The sequence below is a fragment of the Homo sapiens genome, chromosome 8 (assembly GCF_000001405.40).
Source record: "Homo sapiens chromosome 8, GRCh38.p14 Primary Assembly".
In the NCBI taxonomy this organism is placed as follows: domain Eukaryota; kingdom Metazoa; phylum Chordata; class Mammalia; order Primates; family Hominidae; genus Homo; species Homo sapiens.
In genome coordinates, this window is record NC_000008.11 from 10759438 (window position 1) to 10781407 (window position 21970).

General features: G+C 44.7%; 1 protein-coding gene and 1 long non-coding RNA gene across 3 annotated transcripts in view, besides 1 other annotated feature; one reads left to right on the forward strand and one right to left on the reverse strand.

Annotated features, from left to right (window-relative positions):
- Positions 1-13473, forward strand: part of SOX7-AS1 (SOX7 antisense RNA 1) — a 43620-nt gene extending 30147 nt beyond the window's left edge. The window contains exons 2-3 of the long non-coding RNA NR_146188.1: positions 8963-9023; positions 11079-13473. This is a non-coding gene — a long non-coding RNA (SOX7 antisense RNA 1). The remainder of the gene's footprint in view (positions 1-8962; positions 9024-11078) is intronic.
- The window catches only part of PINX1 (PIN2 (TERF1) interacting telomerase inhibitor 1), a 74915-nt gene continuing 58468 nt past the window's right edge, over positions 5524-21970 (reverse strand). For both annotated transcript variants that reach the window (NM_001284356.2, NM_017884.6), the window contains one exon: positions 5524-6479. In NM_001284356.2, the coding sequence (NP_001271285.1) occupies positions 6349-6479 (131 nt within the window). In that variant the 3' untranslated portion in view covers positions 5524-6348. The remainder of the gene's footprint in view (positions 6480-21970) is intronic.
- Positions 15723-15922: a silencer, noted in NCBI's record as "fragment chr8:10632670-10632869 (GRCh37/hg19 assembly coordinates)". NCBI's record gives its function as "represses an EF-1alpha promoter that drives an FKBP-Casp9 reporter gene in an ReSE screen in K562 erythroleukemia cells {active_cell/tissue: K562}" and the evidence as "EXISTENCE:reporter gene assay evidence [ECO:0000049][PMID:32094911]".

Consider the following 21970-nt stretch of genomic DNA (forward strand, 5'->3'; position numbering starts at 1 on the left):
GAACGAGAGCGTGGGGTGCCCATAATAATAACGGGGGGCAGGAGGCAACCTGGAGAGGATGGGTTCCTCTTAGACCCACTGAATGTGATAGGCCCTCTGGACGGTCGGCTGGAGACGCAGGACTAAAGCTTGAGACTAGTGGGGACAGAGATGCTGACCTGAGAATCACACAGAAAGCAGCAGAAACGCCGGCCATGCAGATGTATACAGAAAATGGATAGTGAGAGGACAGAACCCACGGCTCAGAAACACTCAAGGGTGTCCCATCTTCCCACACTTAGCTGACCGCAGAAGGAGCAAGAGCCAAGGAGTATTCAGAAAAGGCGGAGGCTTAGGAGTTGCATGGAGTCGACATAGTTGGAGAAGGAGACTAAACGGTCTGAGATGCAGTTACTCACCGGGGCAGCGACGTACCTCACAAAGGTGAAGATGAGGGTGCTTCCTTCCGTCAAGGTGCTGGGGTCACTCTAGATTGCTCAAGACCTTGATTCTCTAAGGTTTGAAGGCCGGAGTCGGAGTTTGCCTTCAGCAGTTTTCCATGTAACAAATGTGTGTTGATACCTGTTTTTGTTCCATCCAGGTTCGAGGGGCGTCCCCAGTTAGTGGGTGGAGGCTACCTGGAGGCCACCTGGAGGCCACCTCTCCTCTCCCATCTCTATGCACCCCATCTGCACACTCAGCAGATCCTCTAGAGACAGGAGAGGCGGGAGGAAGCTGGGCTTTATCTTCAGACTGACCTGTTAAGAGCCATTCCACGTAGGCAAAACACATTTCTAATGCATTCTATGTGGAGGAAGGCACATACTATAATTTGGCGAATTTATCACAGAGTTAGAAATGTTGTTAAGTGTACACAGTTCCTCCTCAGGTTCAAGTCAAATGAGCTGGCAAAGAGCTTCTCACAGCTCATCCATGAATGCCAAAGAGGAGAGGACGCTTGCTAGCCACGGTGGAGGAGGCTGCGTCCCGGGCATAAATGTACTGAGATTAATCCAGGACACGGCAGTACCTTCTAAATGACACACATTTGTAGAACTTGAAAGTGGGTAGGCTCTGTAATGCGTCAGTCACTCTGCTGTCAACTGGCCTGGAGCCCAGAGTCGGTGTTCAATAAATGTTTTCAGAACAAATAACTGCTTTCAGCACCCACGCACCTTTTTCTAAGGAAACTCAACACAGAACATACAAACAGAAAATTTCAGCTATAACTGATTACAAAATTCTCCCCCCTAGCTAAAGACTTCACTGCTGCTTTCCTTAAAAGTTCACTGCTAATGCCTGCACAACAGGCAGCTGAGGTGGGAGGAAGTGCGCCTCACGCACCCTGCACCAGCCCCCGACCCACTCGTCCACAGCAGGAGAGGCCCGGCCCCACCCACCCTTCTTTACCTGCCATCTTTGTCTGGCTTATTCCTCCCTTTTACTGGTTCCATGAAGGCTTTGTGTATGTCACTGCAGTATATTCAGTATTTCCTAAATAGATCGGACACTTTTATGCAAGGAGTTTAGTCATCGACTTTACTAGGACACGGTACTAATTTGCTCATTAATAACCAAGCACTATAAAATCACACACCGAGCACCCGACCTGACCTCCTGCCCTGCCCTCCAGCACAACAGGCTCCGAAACGCAGCAGCTGCAGAACCAGCGAGATAAACAGGGCGGTGACGAAGAGGTTCTTACTCCAATCAACGTACAGCTGCTGCCTGCTGATCCAAGGGCTGAGATCACTCGGACAGACTGTGCCGAAAGCCTTCTCTGATACTGTTTCTTAATAAACAGGTCTCAGCGTGTGCCTGCCAGTCAGTGAACAGGTGGAGGAGGAGGGAGGCAGAGGGATGACCTCCGCTAGGAAAGAGATGCTCACTGGGATTTCATCTCTCAAAAGCATCAGTATTTTCTACAAGTTGAAAACATTCTTTTTCAGACTTGCAAACAGGGTTTAAGAAACCAACTCACCCAATTTCCCACCCACCTCTTGACCAAGTTGGAAAAGAAAATCCACTGAGAATGTCTAATGTGCAGCATAACTCAAAAGTATTTTCTATAGCTCATCCGAATCATAACTAACTCAAATTAATTGTGAAACTCTGCAGTTTGCCTGCTGCTTTCAAATCCATTCCCAGTTAAGAGTAACAATGACATGTGAAGAGCATCTGCAATAGGGAGGCTTGCAGGTGGAACTGGCTGTGGCAAGGATGGAGGAAAAGGGGCGCGGGTTTGTGACTACAGTAGACAGCGGGCTGGGGCATCGCGGGGCCTCTGGGAAGAGCATCAGTCTAGTTATAAAAAGGCTGAGAGACGGGCGCAGTGGCTCACGCCTGTAATCCCAGCACTTTGGGAGGCCGAGGCGGGCAGGTCATCTGAGGTCAGGAGTTTGAGACCAGCTTGGCCAACGTGGCGAAACCCTGTCTCTATTAAAAATACAAAAATTAGCTGGGCGTGGTGGTGCACGTCTGTAGTCCCAGATACTTGGGAGGCTGAGGCAGGAGAATCACTTGAACCTGGGAGGTGGAGGTTGCAGTGAGCCAAGATCGCACCACTTCACTCCAGCCTGGGTGACAGGGCGAGACTCCGTCTCAAAAAAAAAAAAAAACATAATAATAATAATAAATAAATAAAATAAAAGGCTGCGAGGCCCTTCCGTAAAAGGGGAATGATGATAATGGTTACCTCCTGGGTTGTTTGAGGACTAAATGAGTTGGCTTATTTGAAGTATTTGGAATAAGGCCAGGCATCCAAGACTTCATACAATAATAATAATCATCCATTAAAATTAACAGAAAAGGAGAGAAGGTTGCTGCAGGACAACACAGAAGAGTCTCTTCAGTGGACAAATATTTTCTTGGGAGCCTAATTTTCCTCCTTAAACTGAAAGAACCAAGGAAAGCACTGAATAATACTAAAATTAAAGTATTTTTACCCGGTGAAATAATTCAAGGCAAAAACAGGGATCATATGCTACTCATTCTTAAAGTATCAAGCATAAAATGCAGAGTATTTGTTTTGTTGTTCTAATTTCCACTTAGATCCAGAAAACCAAGTGGACTGAAAAACAGACACAGAAAAATGAAAGCTGAGGGTACCTAGAGAAAAGAGAGTCTCCACCTCCTTTGGAACAAATCTGCTCTTTGCTGAGCATGTGACTCCTTCTCCGGCTGCCCACTCAATTATTAAAATAATTCAGGAGGGGCCAGGAGCAGTGGCTCACACCTGTAATCCCAGGACTTTGGGAGCCTGAGGTGGGCAGATCACTTTGAGCTCAGGAGTTTGAGACCAGCCTAGGCAACATGGCAAAACCCCATCTGTACTAAGAATACAAAAATTAGCCAGGTGTGGTGGCCCGTGCCTGTAATCCCAGCTACTCAGGAGGCTGAGGCAGGAGAATCAGTTGAATCCAGAAGGCGGAGGTTGCAGTGAGCTGAGGTCGCACCACTGCACTCCCTCCTGGGTGATAGAACGAGACTCCCTCTCCTAAAAACAAAAACAAAAACAAACAAACAAACAAAAAACAAAATATTCAGGAGGCCTTTCTCCGGCCTATGAAAACAGTCATCACCACATTCTACATTCTCTCAGTAAAAGCTGCATGTGGGCCAGGTGTAGTGGCTCACACCTGTAATCCCAGCACTTAGGGAAGCCAAGGCGGGAGGATCACTTGAGGCCAGGAGTTCAATACCAGCCTGGGCAACATAGCAAGACCGTGTCTCTAGAAAAAATAAAAACATTAGCCAGGTGTGGTGGCACATGCCTGCAGTCCCAGCTGCTGGGGAGGCTGAGACAGGACGACTGCTTGAGCCCAGGAGTTCGAAGCTGCAGTGAGCTTTGACCAGGCCTCTGCATTCCAGCCTGGGCAACAGAAAGAGACCCTATCTCTGAAAAAAAAAAAAAAAAAAGAAAAAAAACCAACATTTGCATGTGAACAATCTTCCAGTCCAGCTGCCTTGGAATTCCTAACTCCAGGAACTACCAGCTCCCTTCCGCACCTCCCTCCTCTGGCCTTCCCACCCAGCTCCTGCACCCATGTCTGGCCTAAATGCATTCCACCTGCCTCCTAAATGCGCCTGCACACATTTTGGTATATTCTCCTGGCTCTCATTTTTACTGGTAAAGGAAGTTAAAACAAAAGGCCAAAAAAAACAACCAATCAGCATCTATTTATTTTTGAAAGTTAGCTCCCCTTAGGTTCCATGCATTCCACTTCTTTCTGGATCTCTGGTTTCACAGGCAAGATGGGACAGGCAGAGAGAACCTGGGCATGTGCCCTCTGTGGAGAAAGTGACTTCAGAAACCGCTGAGGCTCTATTAGCCTGGGATTCTAAACTCGGGGGGACATGAAAAACTCAAGAGACGAGTCATCAGGCTCTATATTCATAAGACTCTTCTCTGTGTGTGTGTGTGTCTCTTTTCAAACAAATAGCACTGCGCAGCATCCTTAGAGACTACAGCCAAATGTCCTTCATGTATTTTCTCTACATTTCAAGAATCTCGGGACCATGCTTCCTATCTAATGTGTGACCTTGAGAGTTAAAATCAAGGGGAAAAGGTCACCGAATTGGGGGCAAGTTTGAGTTCCCGTCACCAGCCACAATCTCTATATCAAATGGAGGACAACACACCACCTGGGCCTCAGCCAGGTTTGCCTGAAGCAGGGCCAGGCAGCCTCAAGGCCTCCATGGTAGGCTGGGGACATGGGGACGTGGGGAAAGGGGGTGCAGGGAAACTGGGAACTAGGAGGGGAGCGTGAGAAAGAGGGAATAAATGCGTACGCGGATGAAGAGGAACAGCAGGAGGAGATGAAGGCGGCGCACAGGGCAGAACGGCAGACACAGGGCTGGGAAGGTGGCAGGGCCGGACTCCAGAACCTCAGCTGAGCGTTTTCTTCTCCTGTGTCCCAGGGATGGTGTGAAGTGTCTACAGGCATCCGAGTGAACCCAAAGGGAGAGTTTGGCTGGCACACGGGGAGACGGGCCAAGGCGCGGCGGGCGAGGGCGGCACAAGCATGGCGCTGCGACACCACTGCTGGGAGCAGGGCTGAAAGGTGTCTTTTGCTGTAAGGACTTTCATAAGGCAGTCCCAATCCAAAGACTGGCTTTAATTTCACGGCCTTAGCCTCTCAGTTTCTTAAGCCTTCTGAGGACCTCCTGATCATGACAATTAAGTCACTATTTACAGCCATGTGACAGATAAATCAGTATTAGGTGATTTGTTCTGAAGGACCCCCAAAAGGAAACATATGAGAGAACCCACACTCGGCACAGGAACGGCAAGAGTCCTCCTGTGAGAGCTGAGAGATGACATTGGCCCTGAGTCTGTCCACTGCTGAAGCTTGGCAGAGGCGGGGGAAGCGCTCAGAACAGTCGGCTGCCACTGCTTAGTGGAGGGGAGGGCGTTAACGCGTTTCCCCATCAAAACCAAAACACAACAAAAAACCTCTCTGATTTGGGAATGTAATCATATAATTTCTACTTGGCAAAAATGTTGGTTGGCTATAGAACAAAAAGAACAATCTGAATCCAAGCTATTGCCTCTTAATCCTTTAATTAGGCTGAGTCTTTCAGAAGAAAGCACCATTCATTGTTATTGAAGGGAACCGAGAGCAAACGGAGATAGTGACACACACACACACACACAGATGCGCACATGCACACACACGTGTGCACACTTACATGAATGCATGTATTTGTAATGATTATAATTAAACTCTCTTGCTGAAGGGCTCAGAGTTTACAAAAAAATTTATTTGTGTCTGAGAGCCACGATTGAGAACATTAAAAAGGTCCTCCTGGGAATGTAACTTGGGGGAAATGTGGCGAGAGGGCAGGACTCGGCAGCCCATGGGCATGCCACAAGATGCGCCCAGGCGCTCTGGGGTGAACTCTGCTGTGACTTCAGGCCAGAGGTGTCTGCCCCCGCAGTGCCCTGACAGCTGAGTGGTCGGAAGGCCCCGGCTGGGAAGGATTCATTTGGAATCTTTCTTCTTCTTCTTTTTCACTAGCGTTTCTTCTAGTGTAGCGTCCTCTGCTATCTCTACTGGTTTTTGCAGCTTTTTCTTCCCTCTCCTCTTTTTGGGCTTCAGGGTGAAGTCCCGGCCCTCAGGCGGCTGCACATGGTCCCCTGCATCCTGAGCAGAGGCCTTGGAACTCTGGTCCCAGCAGGGGCCTCTGAGCTGCTCTTCTGCTGGCGCGCTCTTCTTCTTGGCCACTCGCTCCTGGGCCTCGGCCCTCTCGGGCTTTCCCTCCGTGTGCCTCTTGGCCTTAGGCTGGAGGTAACTTTCCACATCTTTACCTGTGGCCTCTTTATTTCTTTTCTTCCCCCTTTTACGTTCCACCTGCGTCTCAGAAATGTCAGACCCTGGAACTGGAACCTGGGGCTTGTTCTTCAGTGCTGCCATCCGCTTGGCAAAGTACTCCTGGATGGTGAAGGCGCTGGTTGTCGTGGTTTCGTTCTCCTCTGGAGTGGAGGGACTGGCATCGCCCTATGGTGGGCAGAAGAGTTAAAAGGCAGGTAAGCATCAACTGTTCATCCCTCACCGCACCCAGGAGGCACCCACACCCGGCGCTCACACCTGGCACCCACACCCGGCGCTCACACCCGGCACCCACACCCGGCACTTAGGAGACAAGGCTGAGTGACACGCTCCCTTTGGCCTCTCTCCCTTCTGGTCGGCCTGAACTGCAGGCCGGGAGCAAGGCGGCCACACACTCCGGCTGGGTACCAGGTGGGGTGGTAGATGACAGGCAGAAGCTAATGTCAGAAGGGAGCAGGCAAGCCGCCTCGATGGAATTCTGAGTAAATGTCTCCCTAGAAACAAGTGTTGTGGTGACTAAGCTCCCAGAATCTCCCATCAGAAACAGGGACACTGGTGTTCCAGAGCTTGGTGATTTTGTTAGACACCGATTTCATCTTCATTATGGGTTACATGGGCCCCTGTGTTGATCTAGAAACTTAGACGCCATCTGGATAGGTTAACCTTCCATGAGGACAGGAGCCGCATTCCACCCTGGAACCTGGCTTGCCAGGGGCACCCTTTCTCCCCCAAAGGTGGAGCGTGGCCGCTCTGGCAGCTGCTCCTGAAGGGAGGGCAGAGTGGAGACTCCGCGTGTCTCAGCCTCCTCCCTGAACCAACAGGCCAGCTTGGGGGCTTCTTTCCCTCAGCTGGGGGTGGGGAGTAGAGAAATGCCCCCTCCTTCCCTAACAAAAACTGTATACTCGGGACTGTGTTTGGGCTGTTTTTAAATGTGAGTTACTCACACATAACAGCTGGGATTAGGATTTTAATTTTAAATGAGTATATCTCATTGTCAGGTAATATCTGCTATAAGAAAAAATGTGAAAAATGTATATATCTAAAAGTACATTTTGCTGTAAAGCTTGAGAAGCGAGAGAAAATTCCTAAGGGGAGAGGCTGGGATAAAGAATGAAATGCTGGAATCGCCATTTGGGCTGAGGCTGGCAGTAAGGTGAGGAGGAGTGCCTGTGAGGCAGGAAGTGCTTTCGGGTTGAAGACTATAAGGAATATGCTCGGAGTCAAATCAATGTCTGCAGCAACTCTGCCCACAGAGACTCTGGAAATAAGTCATTAAGCAATCATGCTAAACTTAGGTTTTCATAGTCACCCAACTTCTTCCTTCATACTCATTTATCTCACAAGAAGAGGCTGGGTGTTCTACGCTTTCATGATGGGAGGGTGGGAAACGGCTCCTGAATAAAGAAATCTCCAAATCAGGATTCTACTAATGATCCTAAACTTGGCTGGCAAGGTTCTGCTTGTGCAGGTAACTGAATTACAAACCACCTATAAACAGACCCTGTATTGTCTCGACACAGTGGTCCTCAAAAGCCACCTCAGTGGAATCCAAGATAATGTCCCAGTTGCAGTTCCAGCAGAATCGATATTAATATGTATCAATGGACAATTGGGCCTTCAGTGGCAAGTGCCTCAGACAGCTTTCACCAAGGGGTACATTAAAAAAAAAAATCATGTGGTCAATTCTGGAATTTCAAAATAGGCAGAACATGAAGAATAAATCAACTGAGTTTTGGGAAGCAGTTTTAATTTTATCTATTACTATTCAATTTGTGCTGGAATTCCATAGGGTGATTTTGAGAAAAATAAAAAAAATCTGCCTCAGGAGATTTGTCTTTTTGTTCTTCAAATGTTGAAAAAGAGCTGAAATGCTGCACAGCAGAGTGAAGGATCTTCTCAAGGCTCTCCCGGCACGAGCCAATCCCAGGCTCATGAACAAGAAAGATCCTGCCTCCCAAAGACGGGCACCCTCACAGCCACAGAGACAGGCTCGGTGACCAGGCACCCTCACAGCCACACAGAGACAGGCTCGGTGACCAGGCACCCTCACAGCCACACAGAGACAGGCTCGGTGACCAGGCACCCTCACAGCCACACAGAGACAGGCTCGGTGACCAGGCACCCTCAGCCACACAGAGACAGGCTCGGTGACCAGGCACCCTCACAGCCACACAGAGACAGGCTCGGTGACCAGGCACCCTCACAGCCACACAGAGACAGGCTCGGTGACCAGGCACCCTCACAGCCACACAGAGACAGGCTCGGTGACCAGGCACCCTCACAGCCACACAGAGACAGGCTCGGTGACCAGGCACCCTCACAGCCACAAAGAGACAGGCTCGGTGACCAGACACCCTCACAGCCACACAGAGACAGGCTCGGTGACCAGGCACCCTCACAGCCACACAGAGACAGACTCGGTGACGACGGCTGGCTCGTTTATGCAACAGAAGTCTCACTGACAGTTTCGCAGCACTACAGGAGCCTGCAGTCTGTGGGCCACTCTTTTGGAATGTATTTTTGAGGCTGGAACTCAGATCTGAGTCGAATCCTATGACTCCTTACCTTGCTCATCTATTTATTACCTTGTGAATTCCTGATTTTAATCACCGGAACTAATTGCTGGTATTAATCACATTTTTTATTATCAGGAAATACAAGACCATTTTTGAGTCACTTGTTGAATTCAGCGGGTCTTCGTAACTCCAGAAAGTAAGTATGCTCATATGCTCATCATCAACTTCTGGGATGTAAGTTTAATAGGCACGGGTCACTGCACAGGCTTGGCAGGGCATGGAGACAGGCTAGAGAGGGGCCAGCACCCAAGTCCTACTTCTTCCCAGCAAAGTGCTGGCCACACAATGACTGGCTAGAGAGAGCTGCTTAATGCGGGGGTAGCCACCCTCCCACATCACAGAAACGTGCCTATTTTACAAGACCATGGACTCAAAGGAAAAATACATTGAAAATCTGACTCCTGCAGGAGCAATGGCCAGGACTCATCTTTTATACACCAAAGTCGGAGACTCAGTTTCACTGCAGAGATTCTAATCCTGCTTCTGCATTCTTGACCATGGCATCACATAAAAATAGATACATCTTTTCAAGAAAACTAATGCTTTTACATCTGGTCTCTATCAAAGTAAACAAGTATTGAGAAAACAAGTTACTTTTAAGCATTTTGAAATGACAATAACTTGCATTTTCCCACATTTCCATTAAACACACAATACACCTCAAAAAATAAAATAAAAAAAAATTTAAATGCGACATTCACTGCTTCATAAACGTTGAGAATGTCTGTTTGCTAACTGTGTGCCAAAACCTAATGAAACAAATTTAAGAGTAACTTGAAAACTTCTGGTTCCATATAAAATACTACCAAGAAATATGGTTAATCATCTTGCCAAATGTGATTTAAGCTCAGGGATTCGGGAAATGTCTCTCTCTCTTTTTCAAATTCCAATGCTTGCTGTTCAGCTAAAGGAGGTTTTTGCCACTAATGGCAAAAACCGTGATTACTTTTGCACCAACCTAATAAAATAAGCAGGACTGGCCTAGTCTGTTCACAGCAAGCCTCACAGTCCTCTCCCTTCCTTCAGCGCTAATGAGTGCATCACATGTGTCAAAAACATTTGATGACTGACTTTCCCAAATGGTAAGTGGGCCTTAATTTCTACCCAATCAATAAGTACTTGTGGCTTTGAACTGAGATGACTCTGGAGCACCTGTTCCCCAGTTCACAGAGCCCTGAGAGTTTAAAGCCAGGCCCATGGGATCACCCTGCTCAATCATTTGAGGAAGCTTCACCCAAAGTGATCAGGCCTGGGTGTCCTGAGGAAGGCAGCTATCACCACCGTGCCAGGCACTTGACATCAAGTGGCATCTCAGCCAACTCTTGCTGCAACCTGAGGAGAGGCGTCCTCTCCACATCACACAGGCAGAGAGTGAGACTCCTAGCACTTAATCCGCAGAAGGTCTCACAGCTGGAACACAGCAGGAGAGAGACAGCCCTAAGGCTGCCAGGTGCAAAGCCCTTGCTCCCTGTACCACAGGACCCCGACTCCTAGCTCCCACCTCATGGACTGCCTTGTCACCTTTCCTCTCTCTTCAGAAGCCACCCCAAAACTAAAGTATGTATCAATTGACCACATAATCCAGAGACTAAGGTCTACACTCACCTAAGTTGACTGATGCAGAAAAAATATCCACAGAAATAGTACTTTCAAAAGAGAAAAAAACTACATCATTTTGGTTTGCAATTCATATAAATAAAAAACAGCCTGAAGCCAGGCTTAAAAGAGTTTTATAATTTATCAAACTAGCATGTACATTCACTTGAAAAAGTTTGACTGTTTTAAAGCACAGAGTAAAACCCAAGTCCAAACCTTCCACCCAGGCAAGAAGCCCTCTTGGGCAGATGCTGGACAGCTTCCACCTGGACACTGCCAATATGGAAAGGTGGCTGCTGTGGTTCTCTGACTCAGTTTCCTCATCAGCAACAGGTCAATTCAGGTGGTTCATGGGCGTACACTGTGTGTCACGATTAGAGCTGGAGAATCTTAACGCCATCTCTGGCAATTCCGAATTATCACTGAGGAGAAAACAAAGAGTGGGCACAAAGGCAAGCTGACCCTGCAGAGAGTCCCTGCGGGTATCAATTACAATACACCACAGTCCTCTCCGGTCCCTGAAAGATGCCTGAAGCTACATGTATCAACTCTTCTCGGATGTCTACAGAATTAAAGTCTGTTCTGCTTCTTTTAGGATCCTCCATCTGGAGACTCTGCAGCTACATGAGTGAGTATCTGCGCAAGATCCTCTGGGCTCATGGAGGACTTTGCTCTTGTGTCATTCAAACATGTATACTGAGATGGATTATTAGTACAATGCCCAAATAGAGAGGATTCTCCATTATTCTCAAAAGAATCTTTTGGGGCAAGGAAATGAAGCAGTTTGCACAGAGACCTTAGTGAAGTGCCAGAAGCAGATGCACCTTACTACAGAATCCCCCTACTTATGATCAACATGCCAGTCCAGGAAATGGGCTTCAAAGGCAAGTCTTTCAGCTCGCCAGCCTTGCTCATACATCACTACTGATCTTAAGTGACAGGATGATGGAAGCTTTCTTATTTCCACATTAAGACACGGAGGTCATGCTGCAACAGTAATCCTTCAATGAACTTTGTTAACAAAGTAGACTCCCAGAGATCAAGGGTAATGTATTTAGCAACTGGGGTTGTGAGCCCTGATGGCTATTGCCTGTGATGAACAAATGCTCACTGCCACCACAGCCTGTCTGTCATCAGCCTGTGCTGGGTTAGTCTGTGAAAAGTTAAGAAAGCTTGGCAAGTGAGTGGTTTGACAGAACATTCTGTACCTTTTCCAAACTTTTCAGTGGGGCAGTTCTGACAAACACAAATTATGTCTTCATGTATCCCTTCAGGTATGAAGTGACTGTGTGTGACTCCTCAAAACAAAGGGATTGTGGAGACCCCACCGTCAGCTGTGTGTGTACTTTAAACTCCTCCAACAGAAGGGGCAGGATGAACTGACCCAGTCACTCCCTATGCTGGCCTACGATGTTCTTCCACATCCCCTGTACACAGTCCCGTGCATCACTTTCTTGAAGATCAAGTGTGTGACTGCTTCCTTCCACAAGTCCAATCCCAAGTGAACATCCTTTCTTGTTTATTCCCCATAATAGCAACTTGTTGCTTCTATTTTCTGTATTTGTTTAATTTGCTTTGCTAGCATCTTCCCAAGGAAACAAGTTTCTTGAGGACAGGGGCCATTTATGTTGCATTTGTATTCATACAATCCACAACCTCCCTAATGAGGAACAAGGTACAGTAAGTGCTCAACAAAGGCACAAAGACACCAAACCCAGCTGGACCAAGGCTGTGAAGAGCTCCCACCACCACCCACTGGCCCCAAATGCTTTGTGTTTGTCAGTACGAACTTGTCTGCACATCAGGCAGGTCTAATGTCCAGAAGGGGTGTGGGAGGGTAAGAAGAGAATCAGCATTTTGAGTGCAGATTCCTCCCATCCACATGAAACCACCCCCTTCTCATCAGATAGCACCTTCCCTTGCCTCGTGATGCAAACTGCTTCTCTAACTACTGCAGAGTACATCTGAGTGTCGTCTGCTGTCAGCCAGTTCCTTCCTGGCCCTTAGCAATAAATAGAAACTCAGTCCAGTGATCCATCCATTTCTCCTTCTGCTCTGTCATTCCACATGTTACCACAGTTGCCTTGGAGGGGACAAGTCAATTGGAAAAAAGCAAGGTACTGTGTGGTATGGGAACTGCCACGTTCTTTTTGTGGGATTAGTTGAACACAAGCAATGCCAGTAGAGACTGAACTGTTCTTGCTAAAGAAGAGAACTGTTCTTGGTAAAGAGAAGAGAGTTCTCGTGCATACCACATACAAAGGTAAGCAGCTCATTTGGAGAACAGCAGTGGGATGGAAGTTCCACCAGCAGCCTCTGGTAGCAAGCTGTGAAGGCACAGCCTACATTATATCTTAGCTGAAAACAACCTGGGCAAGCTGATTCTAGGGAGTCATTGAAATGGGTTTGCCACTGAAGGCTGAGCTAGGCAGTGATTCACGGCCGTTCGTTGGAAAGCCTGCCCTGAGCCACTATGGCGGGCGGCCCTGCTCTTCTCTCTATGGAACCTCTGTGGTTTCATGCTTTTCCTTCGTGGTTTCCATGTAACTGAAAACACCCAGTGTTTTATTGATGAACAGCTATTTTTACACTCACAAAAAGCTTTTCAAGTGTGAAATCTTGTACATTTTTCAAGACATTCATCGCTCACATCTGGAATTAGGCTAAACGCACCAAGTCTCGGCAATGAGCAGCCTCGGGGAATTTGCCTGGGAGACACAATCAGTTTTAGCATTAGCAAGTATCACAAGAGTCAAAAACAAATATAAAACCCCATTGACTGAAGAGAGTTGTGATTTGAAGTGGTATTAAAAAGCAAAGATACAATAACAGAATGAGAATTATGCAGCAACTCAATTGGAAAACACAGAAATTGTGTGTGCGTGCACATGTGAAACAGGTGTAAGAACCTGTGGCATGTATTAGAAGCCCACTCTGCAGGGGTTCCAGAGGGTTCTCTCTAGAACAGAGACTGGTGAACTATGGCCGTGGGCCTAGTTTTTAATGATTTTTTTTTTTTTTTACCATTTCTAAATGGTTAGGAGGAAACAAAAAACTATTTTATGACATGTAAAAATTACATGAATTTCAAATACCAGTGTCCTTAAAGTTTTGAATTTCCTCAGTAAAAATCTTGTAAAAATTTGTTTTCTTTCTCATTATACAAGTACATACAATAGGTGCTAAGTAAATATTTACTGAATAAATGTATTATAAAATCGGCTCTGTGACTGTGAATACAATACGGCTGACTTTTGGAAGTGGCAGGTGCTTTTCCAGTGCACACACACAATATACCTTTATATACACACATGTACATATATACACGTATGGAACTGGAGGACGCTGGGCTTTGACAAAGTCCTCAAGCTCTGTCTCCTGCCAACGACAGAATGCCTACCTTTCTGAACTGTGTCAGCAAGCAGCAGAGAGGCTGCTAACTGCTGCCTGCTTTTGAGTAGCAAAAGCCAGTAAAGAAAAAATTTGTTTAAAAAGTGATGTGACATCAAAGAGCACTCTCAGCAACCCAGTAAGTATGCAGAGATACCTTTCTAATATCAGGCATCAGAACTCCGCTTGGAAGTTACAAACTCAGACACACCGGACATTGGAGAAGATAATACGAACTAGAAGGGACAGAATAGCTTGGCTGGACTTTAGTAGAGAAATACACAGAATGCCAAATTCCTCATATGAAGGCCAATGGTAACAGAGCTGTTAATTTTATGTCTTTTTATTTTTATTTTTTCCCATATGCCTAACCAGCTATTCCGATTGCCACTTATTAGGAAAAGCCGACATAAACATGTTTTAAAAGGATGGTTCTCTATGGCAACAGCTTCTCAAGTAATCAACATCAGGATCACTGACAAGAGTCATCCAGCCTCTGTGGAAAAAGAGGAAAGAGAAAGAGGAGCAGGCTTCCTGCCTCCCTGAAAGGCCCTCAGGCTCGGAAAGCTGCAGTGACAAACTTTCCCGACACACTGGCCATGGAAGATAAACGAGGCTCCTCCAGAGCTGGAGATGATCAATGTGACACAGGCCTCAACTTCTGTGAATGATGTCTAAAAATAATCCAAATTGACTGCATTTTATAATTCCAGGTCAAATCGTTCTCTCCCCTGCTCTCCAGAGGCAGGACAAACAGCTTTGATAAACAGCTGAGACCCAGCACTGGCCTCTCACAGAACAGAGCAGAAGCTTCCAGAGGGTTCTGTCTCTTCCATCTTTATTCCACAGGAAGAGGTGAAAATTGCTGAAGAACCATGACAACTCAAATGTAGGCTCCTTACTATAGAAAGCACAGCAGTTCTTGAAGATTCTATTAAATGTAAAATCTTCTAATTTCTAAAAAGAATAAGGTCTTTTTTTTTTTTTTGAGACGGAGTTTCACTCTTGTTGCCCAGGCTGGAATGCAATGGCACAATCTCGGCTCACCGCAACCTCCGCCTCCAGGGTTCAAGTGATTCTCCTGCCTCAGCCTCCCGAGTAGCTGGGATTACAGGCATGTGCCACCACGCCCAGCTAATTTTGTATTTTTAGTAGAGACAGGGTTTCTCCATGTTGGTCAGGCTGGTCTCGAACTCCCGACCTCAGGTGATCCACCCGCCTCGGCCACCCAAAGTGCTGGGATTACAGGCGTGAGCCACCGTGCCCAGCCGAATAAGGTCTTTTTAGAGAATAAAATATTCATTTTGAAACTAGGAATAGGGTATGCATAGTTACATGGAATAATTAAGTAGTCATGATTGTTTATAAAAGAAAGGTAAATTAGGTGAATATAGTTGACTAACAAAAAAAGTCTCGTCTTTCAATTCTTATAAACTACATAAGGCTAATATTTTCACATACTCTTTCTTTCACCAGAAATCAATGTAGCAAATAAAAATATTTGAGAAATATTTTTAGGAGTAAATTTGGCAAAGCAAAGTCATTCTATGTTTAAAAGATACCGAAATTAGTAAGAATAAATAAAATTCCGAAATTAGTCATGTTAAAAGAGTAAATGATATAAAATAATACATCAGACAGTGTTCTTATCACAATAAAAAAAAGGCAATATACCGGCACAACTTATTTTTAGCATAGACAAAAACTAAACAACAACAAACCAACTACAAAGCCAATTCTACTCAAGAAAAACCCTAACCAGTTACACTGAGACTGTAATTCCAAGGAGCTCATAAAAAATAAAAATTGTTACTGCTATTAAATATATAATCCTATAACCTCTTCTCTTGTTTTACACAAGCTGTAAGTTTTTATTTTATAAACAAAAAATATATTGAAAACTTAAGTGAAAAAGTACAAGAAAGACTGTCTCCCTGCATGTTCAGAATCCAAAAAGGTTCTTGAAGCAAGACCTGCCTCGCTGGCAACAAAGCATTGTTTGCAGTTCTGAACCCACCCAACCACCAGAAATTCAATGCCCTCCAGCATGCTGCTTCTCAAACTATCAGGGGTAAAGGATTAGTTCTGTCTGTTTTGTGGTTTTTTTTTTTTTTTTTTTTTTTTTTTTTTGCCTTTAAAAATTTTGAATCCATTACAGGATTACAGGGCAAGATTTTTATAAAGTTAAAAAAGTTAGCAGAAAAATGAAGTTTTAAAAAAGACATCTAAAACCCAAGTCCTAAAATATTGTCAAACTACTAGAAAAGCTTCTAAATGCTTACTCTTAATTTCTGTCTTTATCTTGTCTATGGACCATAATTTGAGTGGCACTGCTATAAAATATCAGCTAGCAAAGGACAGAAAACGGGTACTCAATTTAAGATAGTATAAGTGGCAATGACCTGGCTGTCAGAAGATTGGAAGCACAACTGACAGAACATGTGATCTAGGACAAGTCACCGGCCTTTCCAGGCCTCAAATGCAATCATTTGCAAGACAGGGAAATAGGGCTCCTCAGTAACTTTTTTCAACATAGTTTTTTCACATGACTTTCTTCAAACACAATCTTAAACAGAAGGCCAATCTGTACAACATCTCAGGAAGCTTTGGCTGCAGCGGGGTGGGGGCAACCCAAAGCTCATGTCCCAACCCTCCCCTCAAATCCCCTTGTAAAAGCCCCTGGGGATGCTAGAACTCTATGGAATCCACTTTGAAAATCAACAGCTACATTTTTAAGGTCCATCACAATTCTAGCATTCATTATAGCCTAGATAAGTCCATAGCACTCAGTAAAAGGAGAAGGCAAAAGCTTTCGAGAATAAAATTGGTCTTGGGCTGGGGGCGCTGGCTCACACCTGTAAACCCAGCACTTTGGGAGGCCGAGGCAGGTGGATCACCTAAGATCAGGAGTTCGAGACCAGCCTGGCCAACATGGCAAAACCGCATCTCTACTAAAAATACAAAAATTAGCCGGGTGTGGTGGTGCAGCCTGTAATCCCAGCTACTTGGGAGGCTGAGACAGGAGAATCTCCTGAACCTGAGAAGCGGAGGTTGCAGTGAGCCGAAGTCGTGCCACTGCACTCCGGCCTGGGTAACAGAGTGAGACTCCGCTCAATAAATAAATAAATAAATAAATAAACAAACAAACAAACAAACAAATAAAAATTGGTCTTTAACATTATATAATATATATAATTCTTAACACTGTCATTAACCTTTGGAATGTCAGCAATTGGCTGTCAGAATTGTACAGCCAACCAATTTCTTCCAAAAATGGTAACACAGAATCAAAACTGAACTCCCGCCTCAAGCTGCTAACTGGGTCCTCTTGAGGCTCACAACGGCTGATGATGACCTCAGGCTGCCCACTCTTCCAGCTCTGCGTCGTAAGGTCAGGAAGGGACCACGAGGAAGGGGAAGCAAGGGATGGGATGGTGCTGCCCAGACCTGTCACCAGAGTCGCCACCCTGCTCCCTTCAGACTACGGCTGGAGACGCTGGAGACGCAGAGCTTTGCCTTCTCCGCCAACCCTTCCCCCACACTGCAACCCAAAGAAAGGTCCCCCTTCTTCCTGTTTTCATGATGTCACAGAAGGAAAATCTGGGGAGGAATGTTATTTCTGCTTTCCTGGCAAGAGAGAAGGACAGAAGGAAAAATAAGCCAGTGTTTTCCTCCTCTTCTCCTGCACTAGACCATATGTATGTCAGTTTCTTACTATCACAAAAGCTCTTAAAACCACTTGCTTCATCTGTCAACAAACAAAAAGCCAAATCTAATCCTTTCAGGCCGAACGTGTCCTGGTGAAGCTCTAACCAAACAAAACAGCCCAGCAACTTCCAACCCTTGGGTGTGTTGGCAGGCCCTGCCCTCACCCTCACTGCTTTCTCATTTCTTCTTTATGAGTGTCTTATTATGAAGTTATGTTTGCTGATCTACAAGACGACATAAATTTTTACTGGTACTAAAACAACTCTCAAAAAGTCAGGACCCACTTTCTCCTTTCTGGCTCCTCTAGAAAGCAGAGGCAGGCCCAAGCCCCGTTTGAAGTCCTTGCTGCCGGGAGATGGCCAGTTTATGTCTCTTGTCCTAGGACAGGAAAAGGATGCACTCTCGGCACCATGTGCTAGAGCGAGATAAGACCAGAGATTCTGTCCTCGGCACCTTATCAGCTTTTCCTGCCACTTTCCAGAGCAGACAGCACCATGGCTGGCAATGAACGAAGCTAGTTGAAGGGGGGTTGGGTGTGCGAGTGGCTTGGGGACTGCAGGGAGTGAGGTAGGCAGGGTGTAGAATGAGAAAAGGAAAGAGAAGAGGTTCTTCGTGTATCTTAAAATGGTTTGGTCCCCCCAAAATTGCCTTTTTTTTAAAAAACACATGGATTTTGCATCTCTGTTGGAACTGGAGCAACTAGGAGAGATGTTTTTATAAGGACTTCCGTTCTGGTTAGAATGAACCACCACTTTCATTGCTTCGCACTCTGCCCGTCACTGCCTTGTGCGACTGGCTCCTGGGCACGTAGCACAGGATGGATCTGCTATCAGATACTCCGTGGAAAGACTGCGGGGTCCAGGTTGCAGAGCGGGTGCCTTCCACAGGCACGCAAGCCTCTATCTGCACACCCAGCAATCTCCTGGGGCCAGGACACACTTGCTCACACGGGATAATCCGCCTCACAGTGCAAAGGAACAAGGGAGGCTATGGGACACTCCTCCAAATACAGACGAATGGCATCGATGAGCTGCTTTGTTCTCCAACAAATAACATCTGTGAATCCAAGGATTACACTCTTTAGAAACCCTGGTCTTTGGGGGCTGGGTTAGGGAGGGGGTGAATATAACTCTTGGAAAAAAACCTAGACTAAGCAGGGAAATTTTAACTTAGTTATGGACTCAGTTATTGATAATGAACTCATGAAAGTTCAGGTTGAGTATCCCTTATTTGAAATGCTTAGGACCAGAAGAGTTTCCGATTTTTGATTTAGGGATATTCAACCTGGAATATCAATATAAATATGCTAAATTGATATTCCAGGTTGAACATCCCTCTCGTTTTTGCAAATTGTTGTCGATGAAACCAAATCATTTGTCCTGTAAAGTTCTCTCATAATCAGATTTTTGCTGAATGTATCCCCGTGGCATAGGTTAACACATTTCTCTGTCTCATGTATCTCCTGTAGGGTTCAAGTGAGAGGCAGCCTTACTTTCTAACGGAGCACTTTTCCAATGCCAGCATGTTGTTTTATGAAAAACTGGGCTGGATTCATGGTCTAAGTAAGTTTGGGAAACAAACCTGTGCTATTCCTCCCTTTGATTCACAATGCATATCACCATCTGAGACACGTGGCCGCTGTTAAACTTCAGAATGGCCCACATTTATTTGATCCTGGAACCCTTTTTGGTAAACACCCACTGGCATCCCATGAAATTAGTGCTCTGCTGAACTTACTTTGAAAGGGCTATTTAAACAGATAGTTCCATTATCTGGATAAAATGAGTAGTTCTCTTGTTAAATCTCATAGTTAAATCTTTGTTTTGTCCCAGATTGTCCAAGAGGGTGGGCTTTTACCCATGTAAGTTTTTGCAAAAATGACAAAAGCATAGCAGGGAAGTGAAAAGAGGGCCTGGCAAGCATCCCACTATGGACGCTAGCTTGCAGAGCGCCTCTGGGAGGAGAGGTTAGCTCTTTCCCAGCTATCACATGATTGAAATGGGAATGTCTGTTCCTAGGTTTAGAAAAATTACGCTTCCATTTTGGAATGGAGGGTAGCGGAGAAATAACATATCCTAAATGATGCCAAGTATGGATGTATTTTCTTTGTTTACTTTTAAGACTGCCTACAATCTAGCCGTATTTTTTAAAGGATTATGTGTAAGCAGCAAGCCCTGCAGAGTCTGACAGTGAGATGACCACTGTGAAGAAAGATCCTGGGCGTCAGGTTCCACTTAAAGGCCGTGCAAAGTTCAAACCACAGAACCAAGAATAAATGTATAAAATAACGAAGTGAATAAAATATGGAACACAGAAGTCAATGGACATATAACAAAATCAAATTCAAAAAAGCAATTTCTAAAAGTGAAATGAAACAAACTTGATTCTGCAACTAGCTGGTGAAGAGCCACACAAAAAGAAATTCCAGATGACTGAAAACATAATAATTTAACTGTATAGACTGAATGGGAAATACATAAAGACAAAAAGAACTGCCACACACCCAAAACAAACCCTCTGAATCTCTCTCTCTCTTTTTTTAAAATGATCAAGTTATTGGCATTACTCTGTAACTATTGTGTGTATAATGGGAAATAAGCAAATGAGTACTGTGATATTTTAATGCTTTTATTTCTGGAACCTGTTGATTCCAGGAAACTTACTGTCGGGAAGTAAAGATAAAAGATGAGTGGGGTTAAGTACTTGTGGTCCTAAATCTAATCTGGCAATATGACTATAAACTCAGGATATATTTTATCATAAAGAAATTATAGTTTTATACATGTAACAAGGCCTACAAATGAAGACCAATCTAGGAAGAAATGAACAACCCCAACGCCTAGACTGTGTCGCTAAATATCACTTACCACAAAGAAAGGAATCAGGGAGAAAGGGACGACTCCAAGTGTGGGGCAGAAAATGTACACAGTGGACCTGGAAACTCTTACACTAGATTGGAAGGAAGCTATTAAATACCACTTAGGGTCATCTCAACAGTACTCAGGTCATTATCTGTGTATAGAGATACCAGAGATTTTTGTATGTTGATCATGTATCCTGCAACTTTACTGCATTCATTTAGTTCTAACAGTTTTCTGGTAGTCTTTGGGGTTTTCTACATATAGGATCAGGTCATCTGCAAACGAGATAATTTTAATTTTTCCTTTCCAATTCAGAGATCTTTTATTTCTTTTTCTCATCTGACTGCTCTTAATAGTACTTCCAGTACTATGTTGAACAGAAATGGCAAGAATGGACATCCCTGTCTTGTACCAGATCTTAGAGGGAAAGCTTTCACACTTCCCCCCATCAGTTATGACACTAACTATGGGTTTTTCATAAGTGGCCTTTATTTTGTTGAGAAATTTTCTTTCTGTACCTAAATTGTTGAGAGTTTTTACCAATAAAGGATGCTGAATGCTTTTTCTGTGTTGACTGAGATGATCACGTGGTTTTGTCTTTCCATCTGTTAATATAATGCATTACATTGACTGACTTACACAGTTAAACCAGCCTTGCACGCCAAGGATAAATCCCAAACAAATGAAAACCTAGCTGAAAAAGAAACCAAGAAAACAATCCCATTTATGGTACCATCAAAAAAAAAAAATCAAAATACTTAGGGATAAATTTAACATAGGAGGTAAAAGACCTGTACACTGAAAACTATAAAACACTGATGAACGAAAAAGGACACAGATAGATGGAAAGATATTCCATGCTTATGAATTAAAAGAATATTATTAAAATGTCCACATGACCCAAAGCAATATACAGATTCAATGTAATCTGCCAAAATCCCAACGGCATTCTTAATAGAAATAGAAAAAACAATTCTAAAATCCACATGGAACCACAAAAGACCTCGAATAACTGAAGTAATTCTGAGAGAGAAAAACAAAGCTGGAGACACCACACTTCTTGATGTAAAATTATATTACAAGCTATAGTAATTAAAACAGTATGGTACTGGCACAAAAAACAGACACACAGACCAATGGAACAGGTTAGAGAACTGAAATAAATCTAAACATTTATAGTCAACTAATTTTTGACAAGAGCATGAAGAAGACACAATGGGGAAAGGATAGTCTCTTTAATAAATGGTGCTGGAAAAACTGGGTTTCTCATGTAAAAAAATGAAATTGGACCTTATCTTACAACATATACAAAAATCAACTCAAAATGGATTAAAGACCTAAACATAAGACCTAAAACCATTAAACTCCCAGAAGAAAACACAGGAGAAAAGTTCCTTGACACTGCTTTTGGCAATAATGTGGATATCACACCAAAAGCTCAGGCTACCAAAGCAAAAATATGTAAACAGGACTACATCAAACTAAAAAGCTTCTGCACAGCAGAGGAAACAATCAACACAATGAAAAG